The sequence below is a fragment of the Homo sapiens genome, chromosome 8 (assembly GCF_000001405.40).
Source record: "Homo sapiens chromosome 8, GRCh38.p14 Primary Assembly".
NCBI classification, from domain to species: domain Eukaryota; kingdom Metazoa; phylum Chordata; class Mammalia; order Primates; family Hominidae; genus Homo; species Homo sapiens.
Genome location: NC_000008.11, coordinates 103502647 through 103518610, shown reverse-complemented (window position 1 = coordinate 103518610; position 15964 = coordinate 103502647). Strand labels below are relative to the sequence as shown.

Here is a 15964-nt window from a genome sequence, read left to right as displayed (position 1 = left end):
ACTGATACAGCAATATAAAATTAATATAAAAATCAATATATAAATTAATATTAAAATATATTTTCTTTTTTCCAAATAAAGTATAGATGTAGATATATAGATACCTGCTTTCCATATGACAAGAGTTACAGCAAGCTTGTCCAACCCGCAGACCGCAGGCCACATGTGGCCCAGAAGAGCTTTGAATGAGGCTCAACACAAATTCATAAGCTTTCTTAAAACATTATGAGATTTTTTTTTTTAGCTCATCAGCTATCGTTAGTGTTAGTGTATTTTATGTGTGGCCCAAGACAATTCCTCTTCTTCCATTGTGGCCCAGGGAAGCCAAAAGATTGGACACATGGGAGTTATAGCATAAATTATTTATACAGTCATTCTAATAACTTACAAATCATTTTTTGAATTTTATAAAGTGTCAATCTCTTAACAGAGCCATGGTTGGATATTTAGAACAATATTAGACTTCTCCTGACACATTCATAATTAAAATGAGAGTCATTAGGTCCCTGATACCCACCATTTTGCTACAACTTTAAAACAAACTGGGCAGGCTGCCTGCATGTCATAGTCACATAAACATCTAGATTGAGCCTGTCCAACCCGCGGGCCAAGGGCAGCTTTGAATGTGGCCCAACATAAATTTGTAAACCTTAAAATATGATGAGATTTTTTTGCAATTTTTTTTTTTTAGCTCATCAGCTATCATATTCGTGCATTTTATGTGTGGCCCAAGACAATTCTTCTTCTTCCAGTGTGGCCTAGGGAAGCCAAAAGATTGGATACCCCAGATCTAGCTGTTAGTGTTTTCCACAGAGACTGAAAGCACTGTGCCTCAGGACACTCCCTGCAAAATGCAGTTACCACGAAAACCACTTGCACTGCAGCCTTCCATTGCCTCCACCAACAACAGGGCACAGGGGTATCAGGTAGGCACTGACACTACAGGCAGTACATGCCTTCCAAGGACCATGTTAATACATACCAGCAAGGTTACTAGGTTTCATAATTCTATAAGACTGCACTAGACAACATCATTAGATAATTTATTCTCTCAATAATATTTAGTAGTATGCATCAAAGTGATTCAGTTTTTAAAAATTAGTGTCTCTGTACTGGTGCAGGTCAATTGAATATCAGTCCTGCATATGATGCCCTTTGTAACTGACTCTCACCAACTAGCTTCACCTTCCACCACTCCATCCCTTCTTTCCATCTTCCATGCACCTAGCAATATAGGAATACTGGCTATTCCCCAAAGACACCATGCACTATGCTTTTCACAGTCCGTGTCTAAATGCTTTTCACAGCATATGTCTAAAATGCCCTTCTTCTCCACATACTTTTTCCTGCAAGGCCAGTTTGAATGTGATCTTTGGTTATAAAGACTTCCTTAAATCCTCCATGTTCGTATACTAGCCCCTTCCTCTGTTCAACACTTGGTATATAACTACTTTAAGGCACTTATCATGCATTTGGATTATTTATTTACATGACTCTTTACCACTAAATTATAAGCACCTCAAGGGCAGAGACTGTGTCCTATTCCTCTCTGTTTCCTAAATTAGTACAGTGGCTGGTATAGAACAGATGCTCAAAATGCATTTGTTTAAAGGAAGAACAAATAAATACTTAAATCAAAAACAATCATTATCTTTGATTCCCTATACTGTATTGCTGGAAATTTTTAGATGCAGACTTAAACATGTATAAGGGGATATCCATTTTTTAAATTCTTTTAGAGAGTAGAGTGTATATGGCTTTGTAGAAGCAGCGCCATGTAGTACCTCTCCCCGACCTTCCCATTGGATCATCTCAGGTAGTCCAATTATTACTTTTGTCCCAATTGGGTTATTATTACTGAAGTTCTTTGTCTAATATACACATGTAAAACATTTATTTTTAATTTTCCCTTGTTTCTACATTTTTCCAGCACATAAAGTATGTAGGAATACTACATTGCAACAATAGCAACATCTAGTATTAGATGTCCCACATAGGATATAAATTATTTTGTCAATCTTTTTATTGTTTGTATTTCCTTCTTTTCTTCCATCTTTCATTCTGGCCCTCTTTATTTCTTTCTTATTGGCTTTTAATGTTAACAATTACCAAGAGAGTCATTCGTGACAGAATTTCATAGTGGATTGTTTTAATTTTAGAAATAAAAAATAATGTAACATAATTTAATTAAATAAGTTCAGTAAAGGGACTGCAGACTTTTTTGAAAATATAAGTATGAGTACAAGTATGAAATTTTTGAAATTTTAGTTATTGAAGTAAATAATTATTTCAGCAATATAATACATTTCTCAAATTTTGGTTCCTGTACTCCTATAATTCTTCTCTTTCTCAAACTAAATGTCCTATTTGTATAAAGAAGTTAGCACATAAAGCTATGGGGCCAATAAACAATGCCTGCACCTTGCCACAAAGCAAGATTTTAACTTTTTAAAATGTCTGCAAGTTTAAAATAACAAAGCATAATACAGAACCTCTCATTTAGAAGTCTACATAGAAACTGCCAACTGCCAACACTATATTTGAAATCGATGAACCAAAAAGAAAAAAAGACAAAGAACATGTGTCACTTTCAATGATATTAGTAAGTGTATAGATGGCACATGAGAGGATATAGAGACAACACTAATCAAAATTACTAACTAAAGTTTTCACTGCAGATTAATGAATCTATAGTCAGCAAACAGTATTAAGTTAATAACTGACACTATAGCCACTAAAGAGGAAAAACTAAAAAGATATTTGTCCTGCAAAGATGTACCAAAAACAAAATATATTCAAATTGGTAAATTAAGATTTTGAAACACTAATATTTATAAAATATTATAGAAATATTGTATAAATTTGCGATGACAAGTAGAAAAGTTCTATAATCAGAGTTCATTCTGAAAAATCTGAAATTCAAGTAATATTTTATTTCCAGAGCTCTTGAATATAAATTTTGCCTTTAGATATGAATTCCACATTAAATGTTATCAAAATGAAAAATCTAATCAATTCCAAGCTGCTTCAATCCCAATTACTGTTGGCTTTACACAAAGAAACGAGATCAGAATATTGTTCTCTGTTGTTCCATACCTAAGTTTGTTGTCTATGAAAGGAAAAGCTTGTATTCTGAAGTTTATGGGTTAAAAATATCATTGAAATTGTAAGTGATTCTCACTGTACAGATCTGTTGAAAGGTAGTTATTGACTTCAAAAAATGGCTTAACTGAGTTTAGAACATCTGAACGAACTTAATAAAAAATTTTCATAAACTGTGTGAAAGTATATTAATGAATATGACAAAGTTTATAGATTCAAAGCAACAGTTTAGCTCCAGAATAGTGAGGTTAAAGTGATAGTCAAATGTTACAATATGAGTCCTAAAGAAAAATTAAGATGAGCAGAGCATTATATATGCTTGTGGAATACCAACATTATTTTTAAATATTTGATATTGTTTTTAAAGTTCAAATGGATTAGAATACCATTCTCATTATCAGAGGAAATTTCAACATTATAATTGTCACTGAAAGAAAAGGACATGAGTTAAAGGATATTACTAGCTTTGAAGTAAAATTTAAAGAGGATGAATTTTCAAAATTCTAATAGCATAAAAGCAGTTTCCATCAATCAGAAAAAAATGAAGTTTTTTGTTTTGTGTGTGTTTTTTTTTGTTTTTTTGTTTTTTTGTTGTTGTTGTTGTTGTTTTTGAGACAGAGTCTTGCCCTGTTGCCCAGGCTGAAGTGCAGTGGCGCCATCTCAGCTCACTGCAACCTCCACCTCCCGGGTTCAAGCAATTATCCTGCCTCAGCCTTCCAAGTAGCTGGGATTACAGGCACATGCCAGAAAATGAAGTTCTTCTCTGCAATTTTCTACCAACTACTTTAAGAGTTTCTCGTCAATGGTGACCAACAGGAATTTGAAAAGATAATCATTAAACAACCTTGGAATAATGTGTTTCTGTCCAAAGATAAATAAATAAACCTGATATTAAAAAGATATGCTCATAGAAGCTGGCTAAGTGTCTCATTGTAGATATTGAAAAAAATTTAAAGTTTTCATAACTCAACATTTGCTATCTTCCATAATACCTTGCCTTTTGTTTTGCTTAGAATTTTGTAACTTAAGATGTGATTAATTTTTTTACCAACTTTCATGTAGATGCCCCCAATCTTTCCCAGTTTATCTCAATATGACATACACCTCCTTTATTGTTTTCTACATGTGGAATCACGTGAAAAAGGTTAGGAAGCATTAAGTTAAAGTAAATTAACTATTCAGCCAAAATATACAGTGGGAAGGGAGAAGAAAAGTCTAAAAGATGGTAAATGAAGAGAGGACAAATCATGAAGGACCTAGTTTGACATGCTAAGAATTTTACACTTTTTCTAGCCTTTGTCAGCTAGAGGTCTGGAAGAGAGGTAAGCTCTAATGTTCTAAGTCATCCATTGTATGTAACACATTAATTTATTTCTTATGCTTCTAGAATGGTACTATTTATGTATCCATCCCTGGTAGAAGAAAAGAATTACTTACTATTTTGTATGTTCCATGGTTCAGAGAAGGAATCCAGTTAAAGGCTGCATGTAGCTGGCAATAGGGAAACACTGATACGTTAAACAAAAGAGTTATATAATCAGATATTTTATGTGTAACGCTCTTTCTGGAAAGAGTAAAATTTAAATTGTTTTAAATCAAAATTCAAATGACCTGGGATCAATAAAGACCCCAATATTGATCTATGTAAAATCCTACAAGTAGCAAAATCTAATTTTCAATTTTTCCTTTAAATATTATTTTAAATAGCTGGTGATAATGGTCACATCAACAGCCACTATGATTACAATAATTAACATATTACAGCAATTTACAGCTCACAGGCACTTTCATTTATATAGCATCACTTTACTCCTATGATAAAGATACCACACACCCATACTTCCTTAACCACAATTCCCAAATCCAAAAAGCTCTGAAAACAAAAATTATTTTTGTGTAAGTCTGGGCCAAAATTCCTGGCCTGACTATATGTAGTCCTTATTTAACCCTTTTGTAAATATTCATATGTTTCACGAGAGAAATATCAATGTTTGATTAGGGGCTACTGTCCTAACCCTGCTAAGAGTTACATATCTTATAGTATATACACCTTTACATTTTTAAAGTCTAAAATACTTGAATTCCAAAACATCTGCCACCATGAGTTTCAGTTACAGAATTGTGGACTTGTGTTTTCAATCTTCATTTTATAGAATGCAGGAAGTTAACTAACTTCTTCAAGATAGCACAGCTTATAAATGATGGAGCCAGGACTATTATCCAAATATCTAAATCTCGTTTTCTATCCCCTATCCAAGACTAACCATAAATGGGAAAAAAATCCTATAGAGGCATATAGAGGCATTTCATATTACATGTACCTGTAATTCCCTGGCCCAGCTCACCCAGAGCACTTGCCGACTGCAGGCAGCCTCCAAGCCCATACATTCTGGGTTCATCCTGGGAAATCCAGTTCAAGGACTATGCATACATCCAGGAATGACATGACCTGGACAGCAGCCCTGCCACTTTCTATATCTTATAAGAATTAGTTAACACAACATTTTAAAAATGCAAAATTTCAAAATAAAAGTCTATTTGTACCTAACCTTCAAAAAAAAATTTCCTGCTGATTTAGTTTATCAGCTTCACTATGTTACACAAATGACTAAGCTCATTGTCTAGTTTGAGTTCACTGGTTCAGAAGTAAAAAGCATCATCAATTTGTATGTTGATACTATTTTTCACTAAAATTTATTCTTTAAAAAGTAGAAAGCAAATAAGACAAAATTGTAAAGCGGGAACTACAATTATCCTAAGGATTGCCCACTTTTCTAATGCCAATTCTATCAATCCTGTGATAGTTATATTTTTCAACAAATTCTCCTGGTTCTCCCTCTATACATGATAGGATTGTCCTTCTCTACCCTGAGTTAGGTAGGCATGATCATGAAATTTGCTTTGGCCAACAAAATGCAAGCAGAAGTTGTATGCATACCTCTGAGAGGAAATTTTAAGAGACAACTTAGGATTCACTGCAGCCTCCCTTTTCAGCTGCTCAGAATGTTCCAGAAAGCATTTTCTCCACTAACCTGTGTCCCAGGATGAGGATGACATGGAGTAGAGACCCAAAGAGATCCAGAGAAACATATAACGCCAAAAAGAAATAAACCTTTGTTGTTTTAAGATACGAATATTGGGGATAACATAGCCTACTATAAATTTACTGCCTCTCAGCTCCAAATCCACCCTTCTTTGACCTGCTTTGTGATAGTGAATCTGGACTGTCACCATTTCTCCTTTGCAGTTGGCAAAATGTTAAACTTTGTCACTAGAGGGAGCCATAGTGACATTAAAGGAAGAAAGGACTTCAAGGTTCTGGGTGTTTCGTTGTTCTTGCTACAGTGCATGGTTGCCAGTAGCTTATAGACACCCAGTGTTACTCAACCTCTTAGCAAGTTTCAGTGGCACCCCAGCAGACAGTTTCTCAAGAAGTCTCACTGGCACCCCAAGAGGTGGCTTCCCAATAAGTTTCCTAAGCACCTCAGCCAGCTTCTCTGCAAGTCCCACCAACGTTCCCACAGATGATGTCCTGCTTGCCTGCCACAGCCTGAGACAGCTCAGTGAGCCACAATCACATCCTCCAATGAGGGCTGAATCTCAGCCTCAGACACACAGGAAGGGCTTCTCTGAAATTTGTTTCTGTCATAGGTACTCTACCTTACCCCTAGAAGAAGGCTGCTCCTTGCTATGAGTAGTAATACTTTATATCAAAATGTCCCTGTTCAAATTACTATTATAGTTTCTATCAAGACTGGACTCTGATATCTAGTCTATCCTAACATACTGTCAACTGCAACATAAATTTATATTAGTAGTTTTAAAGAAAAATCTTGGATTACTTTCTTTTTCTACTTTATTTCATAGCTACTTTTAATCTTTACATGCCTAAGTTAAACAACTGATTATATCCTAAACCCTGTCATGAAGTTTAATCATAACATACACTACTGTGCATCTTTTCATTAAACCAGACTCTAGGGTAAAAAATTACAAAAAAGTAATATATGAAGGCACACTTATGTAGAGTATGGATATTCAACCAAACATGCCAAAAGAAACTACTTCTTGTGGAAATATTAAATTCAAATATTTACTTATTCATACTGGAATATAAAGTTATGCTGAGTCTTTTAACATGACCATTGGATAATGAAAATACTGCATATGAAAATATTTCAATGACTCTTCACTATGTTAGTCATATGGTAAAATTATTTACTCCTCTCCCTATAAAAATAAATACAATTATTAACTAACATGACTACTGCTTAGGAATAGTACTTAATCTTTACGTACAGGGCACAGAACAATTCACACTTCTTGCCCCCAGTCCCTCCACCTAAAACCCAGTTACACAAACATTTTAACTCTGGAGGAAACTGTTAAATAAATAAAAAGTGGAATGCAGATTGGCGGCACTTTGAAGGCAATATAGTATTATAAACTATAGTACAACATATATAGTAAAATATTATTTCAGAGATATTCTGGAATTTGTATCTCTGAATACAAAATACTTTTTAAAAAATAAGAATAGTTCAGTATCTACTTTATAAAAAAATATATATCCAAATTTATATCTACTGGCACTCTTTAGAGGAATGTCATAAGGAGAATAAATGGCCCCCCAAAGATGTTCTGTCCTAATTGCAGGAACACATAAATATGTTTCCTTATATGGCAAAAAGAACTCTACAGATATGATTAAAATAAGAAGATTATTCCGGAATATCTGGGTGAATTCAAGCTAATCACATGAGTTCTTAAAAGAGAAAAAATCTTTCCTAGTCGTGGGCAGAGAGAGATGCAATGACAGAAGAAAGGTCAGAGAGACGGCATCGCAATAAAGATTCAAAATGCCCCACTGCTTGTTCAGAGATATAGCAAGTTATGTGCAAGTACCAGAAAGAGGCCTCTAGGAGGTAAGAACAGCCCTCAGCTGAATAGCCAACAAGAATCTCGGTCCTATAACTTAAAGAACGTAATTCTTTCAACAACCCAAATGAGCAAGGAAACAATCCTCCTTTAGTTTCTAGAAAGAAATGCGGCCCTACCTACACCTAGATTTTGGCCCAGTGAGAAAAATAAGTGTGCTAATAGAAGTATTAATTAATTCTTTCAGATTGAAGACTGTTTTATGTGTGATAAAACAGATTTTCATCTATGTGCCTGGGAAGCAAACTATTATAAAAATGATAACAGATACCAAATATGCCAACAAAACAAGATGAATGTGAGCACCACCTCCATCTGTCAACTGAACAATACCAAAGCACCAAACACCATTGTGGTTATTCTGCTACCCAGTTATATTGTTTAGTGTATCCTTTTCCCCTAGTTTTAGCCTCCCAGAAGCCTAGTTACAGGATACAAGAAACTACCAAACTATTTGTCTCTTCGAGCTGAACATAAGCTTGATTGGAAGAAAAAAATGCTAAAGGGCATTCCTCCTGTGCCTTAAAGGAGCATTTATCCAGTTCCTCTGTTTAGCAGAACCTATCAAAGTATTTGTATTATATAAAAATACTAAATGTTTATAACCATGTAACTATACAAAAGTTGTTAATTCCAAATGCCTTAAAAAGCATTTAGCTAGCACTATATTGTACAAAAAGTAAGAGTTTTGACAGGTATATATAATATAGATATGTGTTCATAATATATAAACTGTATTAAAGTTGTTAGTTCTTGACCAATTAATTTATACTATCTAGTTGTCTTCAATTTTGTAGGTTACCCGTATTAGAAAGAAAGTAGGTAAAATAATATATTACTCCTGTGTAAACCTTTTCTTAACTTTCCCCTTTCCATAACTCTACCTCAATTCCTATTTCTGGAGCTTCCCATCACAAAACCCAATAAAATTTATCTCCCTTTTATAATACAAGCACTTTCTGAAATTCTGCAATAATTCAGTAAGCTAATATAAAGATGCACAGAATCTTCACCAACTTCCACATGTCATTTCCATAACTAATCTCCTCTCTATATTTTCCTAAAATACACTCATATTTCCAAAATTCCCTTAGAGGTGATACAGAAATATATACAGGGAAGGAAATTTGTCCTTGCTAAGCCTAACATATAAAACAAAGATTGTGTGATAGTTTAAAATACACAAAGAATGAAATAAAACCAGAGGGTGAGAAATTCATTGAGACTAAGTTATCAATGGGAGTAGGGAATATTCAGTAAAAGGATGATAGTCCTGAAGTTCTGAAAAGATTACATGGTGTGAATATACCCAGTAGAAAAAATTTTATAAGCTATTAAGAAGGGTTCCTTCTAATTATGAATGGATTCCAAGAGCCCTAATCTTACTTTCTCCCCTTTGTTCTTTGTCCTTTCTTTTCTTCTTTGTCCCTTTTGGTCCTTTTTACTACCATCCCATTATACCAAGTTATAGTCACTTCTATTACTCATATTAATGCTACAAACTCTCTAGAATAACTAAAACAATAAAATAAGCCACTTCACAACTGCTCCCTCAAGAGAACACTGGTCCTAGGACCAGATGACTTCACAGAGCTAACTATAAGTGAGATAAGCAGATACAGGCAGATATATATTATGTACAGTAGTCAGTTACGCAAGTCTGGCATCATAAGAGTTTACCTGACCCTTAACACACAGCTGTCAAATCCTGGCAATTTTGGCTCCTCAATTTTTCAAAAATTTGTCTTGACTCTCCACCTCCACCTCTACTGCCTTATTTCATGTCTTCATCATTTATTACCTGGATTACTGTAAGAATCTCCTAAATAGTGCCTTTATCTCTAGTATTACACCTTCTAACCAATCTATTAAATGAGAGTGGTTTTTGTTCCAACAGAAGTCTAATTATATTGTGTCACTGCTTAAAATCCCTCCATGACTCCCTATTGCCAAATCCAAAGAATAGCATAGAAGGCTTTTTAGGCTCTGAACCTTGCCATCTCTCCAGTCTCCTCTATTGACGCATCACCATTTAAATCTGTGCTCTTCTGAACCACTTCAAGCAAACTTCTTGACCATGTCCTGCATCGTCTTCTTTTTTTTTTTTTTTTTTAACAAATGAAAGGTTTTGGGGGCAAAGAGGAATTGGGAGTTTTAAGATTTTTGCTTAGAGAACAATCTGCCCAGCTAACATCTACTCATCATTTGAGATTCAGCCTAGATGGCATCTTCCCAGGACTGAATCACGTGCTCCTCTTGTAAAATATATCCATGATACACTGTAGTGCACAGTAGTCTCCTGGTACTTACCATGCAAAATTTTCATGTGGTTTATCACGTTTCTTACAATGAGCTCCTTAAGAATTACCTGATAATGGTTAAAATTATTTCAACTCCCAGAGATATCTGTATTTCATTAGGTGACTAGAGAATACAAAAGTTTTTAATATCTAGCAGTGAAACTTTCAGATATTTTAACAGGAAAAACTATGTGACACCATGTAATATAACACAATATAATCAAACAATACCATAGAGGCAATAAACTACTAGTAAGATTAGTCTGACATATTTTTTACCATGGTTATAATGTACTAAAAACACCTTTACAGTATTTTTTCATGACACTTTACATTTTTATGTGTTCATATGATTATGGTTGGCCTTAGATTATCTGTCCCTGGAGGGCATGAACTATTTCTATCCAAAGCCTTCTGTGTACTCTTTATCACTCATCTGTGCTAAACACAATGGAAATGTATCAATTCTCTTAAAGGATCACTTTTACAGCCAAATTTTCCCTAATTCCTAATATTCCTTAAATTTAAAAATGATATCTATCACAATGTTCTTCTAGTTTCTAGTCAAAAAAGATATGCTCTTAGTCCAAAAGAAAGATAAGCTGCAATCATACACAAACACTGTAAGTTTCCTTCCATGTAAAATAAGCAAAATTAGGCATGTTTAAAAATTACATTTGATTTCAAAAATAAGGACACTACTACATAAGCAAATCTTTTTTTAAGATTATTGGAGTTCACCTTGAAAGTTTGTACCACCTAGATGAACATAATATTTCATTCCCAATGTGCGTTCATTCACCCGATTAATATTTTTGAGTACTACTATGTGTAAGGCATTGTATTACATTAGAAGTTGAAGCTGCATTAGTGAACAAAACAGACATGGTGTGTGCTCTCTTTGAGTTGATAATCTAGCAGAGTGGACAGACCATAAACAAGTAAATAAATCATTATAAATTTTGATAAGCATAATTGGGGAAATATAAAAGGTATTGTTATAAAGAATAATGGAGAGAATCTACATAAGAAAGAGTGGTCAGAAAAGAGCTCTCTAAAGATCCAAATTTGAAGCTAAGCCAGAAGGATGAGAAACCGGCAATCATACAAAGCTTAAGTGTATTTGAGGGGCGATGTGAAGATCAGCATTCTAAGCTCAATAACCATACTTCAGAATTAGCTTAACCTAATACGGTTCTCTGGGTTCTTAGATACAATGTGAATAAGACAAATAGGTAAATATAGATTTTAGTTAAATAATAGAGTAAAAAGTTTAACCAAGGCAAATCTAAAGTCAATTACAAAGTAGTTTCCACAAGTAAGTCCCCTCAATTCACCTTTGACTATCAGTATCTTGCCGATTACCAATAACTTGATGTCAGTGCTATTTTCACTGCTATGTCTTAGTTATCAGGCTCCTTAAGAATGGTATTTGCTGAGGAAACTATTTTCAAGTTGTCACCCACCCTCTCCCCATCCCTAGTCTTCTAAACAAATAATGAAGTCGCTTAAAAGCCCTCCTGGCATATTTTGACTTCATAATAGACAAGGAAAAGAATCTCTCAATTTTTAGAAAATAAGAAAATTTCACCCAGCAATCCTATGATAAGGTTTAAAGAGTGCTATCTATGTCAGTTAACAATAATGATTATTTATTGCACCACTACTTATGCCAGGATACTTAGTCTATAACAATCACAATCCTTCAAAATAGGTGTTATTACTCAAATAGTATAGATGAGGAAACTCAGAGTTTAATAATAACAATCACAATCCTTCAAAATAGGTGTTATTACTCAAATAGTATAGATGAGGAAACTCAGAGTTTAATAATATAAGCAAAACGTTACCATTATTAATTAGTAAAGTAAGGTGTCAAGTCAAAGTTCATCTGGTTTATCACACTTGCTTCCACTATCTCTTTCTTCATCGCACAATATAATTAGTTCTTTATCAAAATCTATTGTCAAGAGGAAGATATTATTTAATTGCCCTTATTTCAAAATAGAATATATATAAATTTATTGGGTACTCTTTCATAAAATATAAGTCAATTTTTTGTTTGCTTGTTTTCTTATAAAATGTCAATCAATTTTTTAGAATGCATTTTGAATCCTTAAAAACTATAGTTTTTCATTTTTTTGGCAATGGCAACAGTGGTTTACATATGCAATTTTTATTTAAAAGTATTCATGATTCAATTGGTACTTTTTAAAAATACTAGAATAGGGAAGATCATTCTAAGAAGATCACAAACTCAAAATCCATAAAACAAAACTACAATAAATTCAATTTTTTTAAATCGTGACCAGTAAAAAAGGCATAAACAAGGTCCTAAAACAAATAACATGTAAGAGAGCCTCCACAAATCACTAAAAATTACTAATAGAAAAGGGAATACAAATGGCTGTAACCAAATTTTTTTAAAAAGGCTCTCAATCTTTCTGACAAGAAAATTGCAAATAAGTCTACAGTGGCATCTTTTTCATTGAAACATTGGTAAAGATTGCCATACACTGAGTTGGCGAGGATGTGGGAAAGTCCCCTTAGTACACACCACTTATACACACTTCCTCTACAAAAGTAAATTTCACAATATTTATTAAATTTAAAATATACTAACCCTTTGGCCCAACAACTTTGTTTCTAGGAATCTGTCTCAAATATACATTCATACATGTAGGAAATGCATGTACGAAGATATTTATCACAGATAATACTGTGATAAATACTAAAAATTTCTAATGACAAAATACTTAGAAAAAAACTTAAATACCCACAAATATGGTACTAGTTAAAGAAATTACAGAATATTCATTAAAAGGGATAGTATATATCCTATATCCATTAAGGTTAACGAGGCAGCTATACAGTCACAGATGTGGAACTGACCTCTTATAAAGCAAACTGCAGGACACATTTCTGTTTTTACGTTTACATCCATCCATACATACATGTATGAGCACACACATACACACATATACAGACACACACAATATTATATATACACATGTATTTATTCTTATGCATAGACTGTCTCTAGAAGAGTATACAATATAAAATATACTAGTAACAGTAGTTGGCTCTGGGTAGGGGAAATAGGTAGCTAAGAAATTTGGGGGCTGCGGGTTGCTCACACCTGTAATCCCAACACTTTGAGAGGCCAAGGCAGGAGGATCACTTGAGCCCAGGAGTTCAAGACCAGCCTGGGCAACATAGGGAGACCTCATCTCTACAAGAATAAAAAATAAATTAGTCGAGTGTCATGACACCTGCCTGTGGTCCCAGTTACTCCAGAGGCTGAGGTGAGAGAATCGCTTGAGCCCAGGAGGTCGTGGCTGCAGTGAGCCGTTATTTCGCCATCTCACTCCAGCCTGGGCCTCAAACCAAGAAAGACCCTATCTCAAAAAAAAAAAAAAAAAAAGAAAGAAAGAAAAGAAAAGAAAGAAAAAAAAAGATTTTATTTCAAAATTTTATAAATTAACTTTAGAAAATACTTTTAAAATTGAATTATTTTAAAAAATAGAGAACTGCTCACTATATATGTGCTAAATATATACTAATTGTTATCCTAACCTATCAGGAAAATTTTTACTTATTGCCTTCCTTTATTTGGGAAGCAAATTAACCCTTTAACAGAAAATCTAAACTATGAATGAAAATATACACATCAAGAAACACATAATTTCTAATTTGTGTTACAAAAAGCTTATCTGAAAGGCTATGATATGTACATATTAGAAACTCAGTATTTACTGAATACTTTTCTATTGATTTAGTGGGTTTGCTTTCCTCAGACATTTTTTCACAATTACACAAAAACCCACTGGAAATTCAACTTTTAATAAATTATGTTTTTCTTTCAAACAATGATTCCTCATTGTCCCACAAAATTGATAAGCTACCTCATTAACATTACCACAATTTAAATAAACACAATTTATTAAGTACTTATTACGTGCAGGTGTTAAGGATGCTGCAAAACACAAACTCAAAAAAAGGGTAAATTTTGATTCTTGCCCTCAAGAAGTTTACAATCTTGAAAGACAAGACTTAAAAACATTAATCATTCAGATGTCTTGGAAGATTGAAAAAAAAACATTAGTCAGTAAAAGGACATTATAAATTTTACTGATAAATTGAATTAGCCAAATTTAAACTGCTACAGCAATACATGAAAGGATTCTTTAAAGTAATTACTGATTAGGGTTCTACTGAGATTTTTAAATGCTTCCAAAATTATAGTACCTCGCTCATATGTAAAATGGTATTATTTGATGATGATAGACTTCCTATGTGGATGTTCAGCTGGACTTTGAGGAAATTACTAATAATTAGGAATAGCTTTTAATTATTCAGGCTCCTAAGGTGAGAGATAACAGTAATGGTCTCAGTTTTGATCACTCAGTTCTCTTATTAAAAATATCTCAAGCATGAATCTTTCACTACATGCATATTTAAAATTATATGCATCTAGGTATTGTCATCTATATATTAAATATTAATAAGGTTCAAATTCCTTCTTTCTCTCCACTTTGCATGAATACTTAATATGAACATTGAAACTCACAGATCATGCAAAAATATTTTTATCTAACCATTGCAGTATCTTCACACATCAAATGTATTTTTTAACATAAATGTTAAAAGGCAGCAGACATGCATTTAAATTTCAGTTTATTTTTCTCTCTACTCTTAAAATACATGTTAATTTTCAATGTAATGAACAGCACTAAAAAGAAACAAAGGATAGTAATGACTAGGTAAGCGAACCCTAAAACTTCATGGGAAATAGTAACCATTGAAGACCGTTAGTATTATTTTTCTTATGTATTTGTAATTTAATACCCAATATTGATAATGTATTATTTAGTAAACTGTCAAAATCTTCAAAATGATTTGTCTCTCATTACTATAATTCCATTATAAAGTCTATTCATTTCATTTCCTTGCCTACTCTTTCGTTAAAAAAAAATTAAGAACATTTAAAACCAAATGTCCAAATATATTATGCTTTAACCTCCAAATAACTTTTTGTTAAAATAAATATAACAAGAATGTGAAACCATGAAAGCCATTTTGAGGTAAGACTCCTTTCTAAGACTAAGTTAGGTAGCAATGCAAACAAATATTTAAAATAAATCTGAATATATATTTTTCATCAATGTAATTTTATAGATTGTATGAATATGTATTTAGAGAACATTTGTTTCTATCTAAACTATGGAAATATGAATATGTAAATATTATATGTATTGAATAGTATGTAGGTTTACATACAGAAATAATATATACATATGTAGCTACCTGAAAAACCCTTTTACAACATCTTCCTAACATACTGTTCATTTTGAATAATCCTAATACTTAAAGTCCACTTAAATTTCTATATTAAAACAACAAATAAACTTAGAACTACAGTGAACTAGCCACATAGTATTTCTACTATGAAGAAATAAAAACACATTTTACATTTAAATAGGTAAGTCAAAAAAATAAAACTACATTTTACTGGAGCATCATTTTGGCCGCACTGATTTTTATCAATTATAGTAAAAGGCATTAAGTTCACATATTTAAATATCAAACTGCAAGTCATCAAAAGCTTGGCATTGTTAGTATAC

The 15964-nt window shown here is 33.0% G+C and overlaps 1 protein-coding gene across 47 annotated transcripts in view; it reads right to left on the bottom strand.

Moving 5' to 3' along the window:
• Positions 1–15964, bottom strand: part of RIMS2 (regulating synaptic membrane exocytosis 2) — a 755485-nt gene that overhangs the window by 737484 nt on the left and 2037 nt on the right. The gene's annotated exons all lie outside the window — the stretch shown is intronic.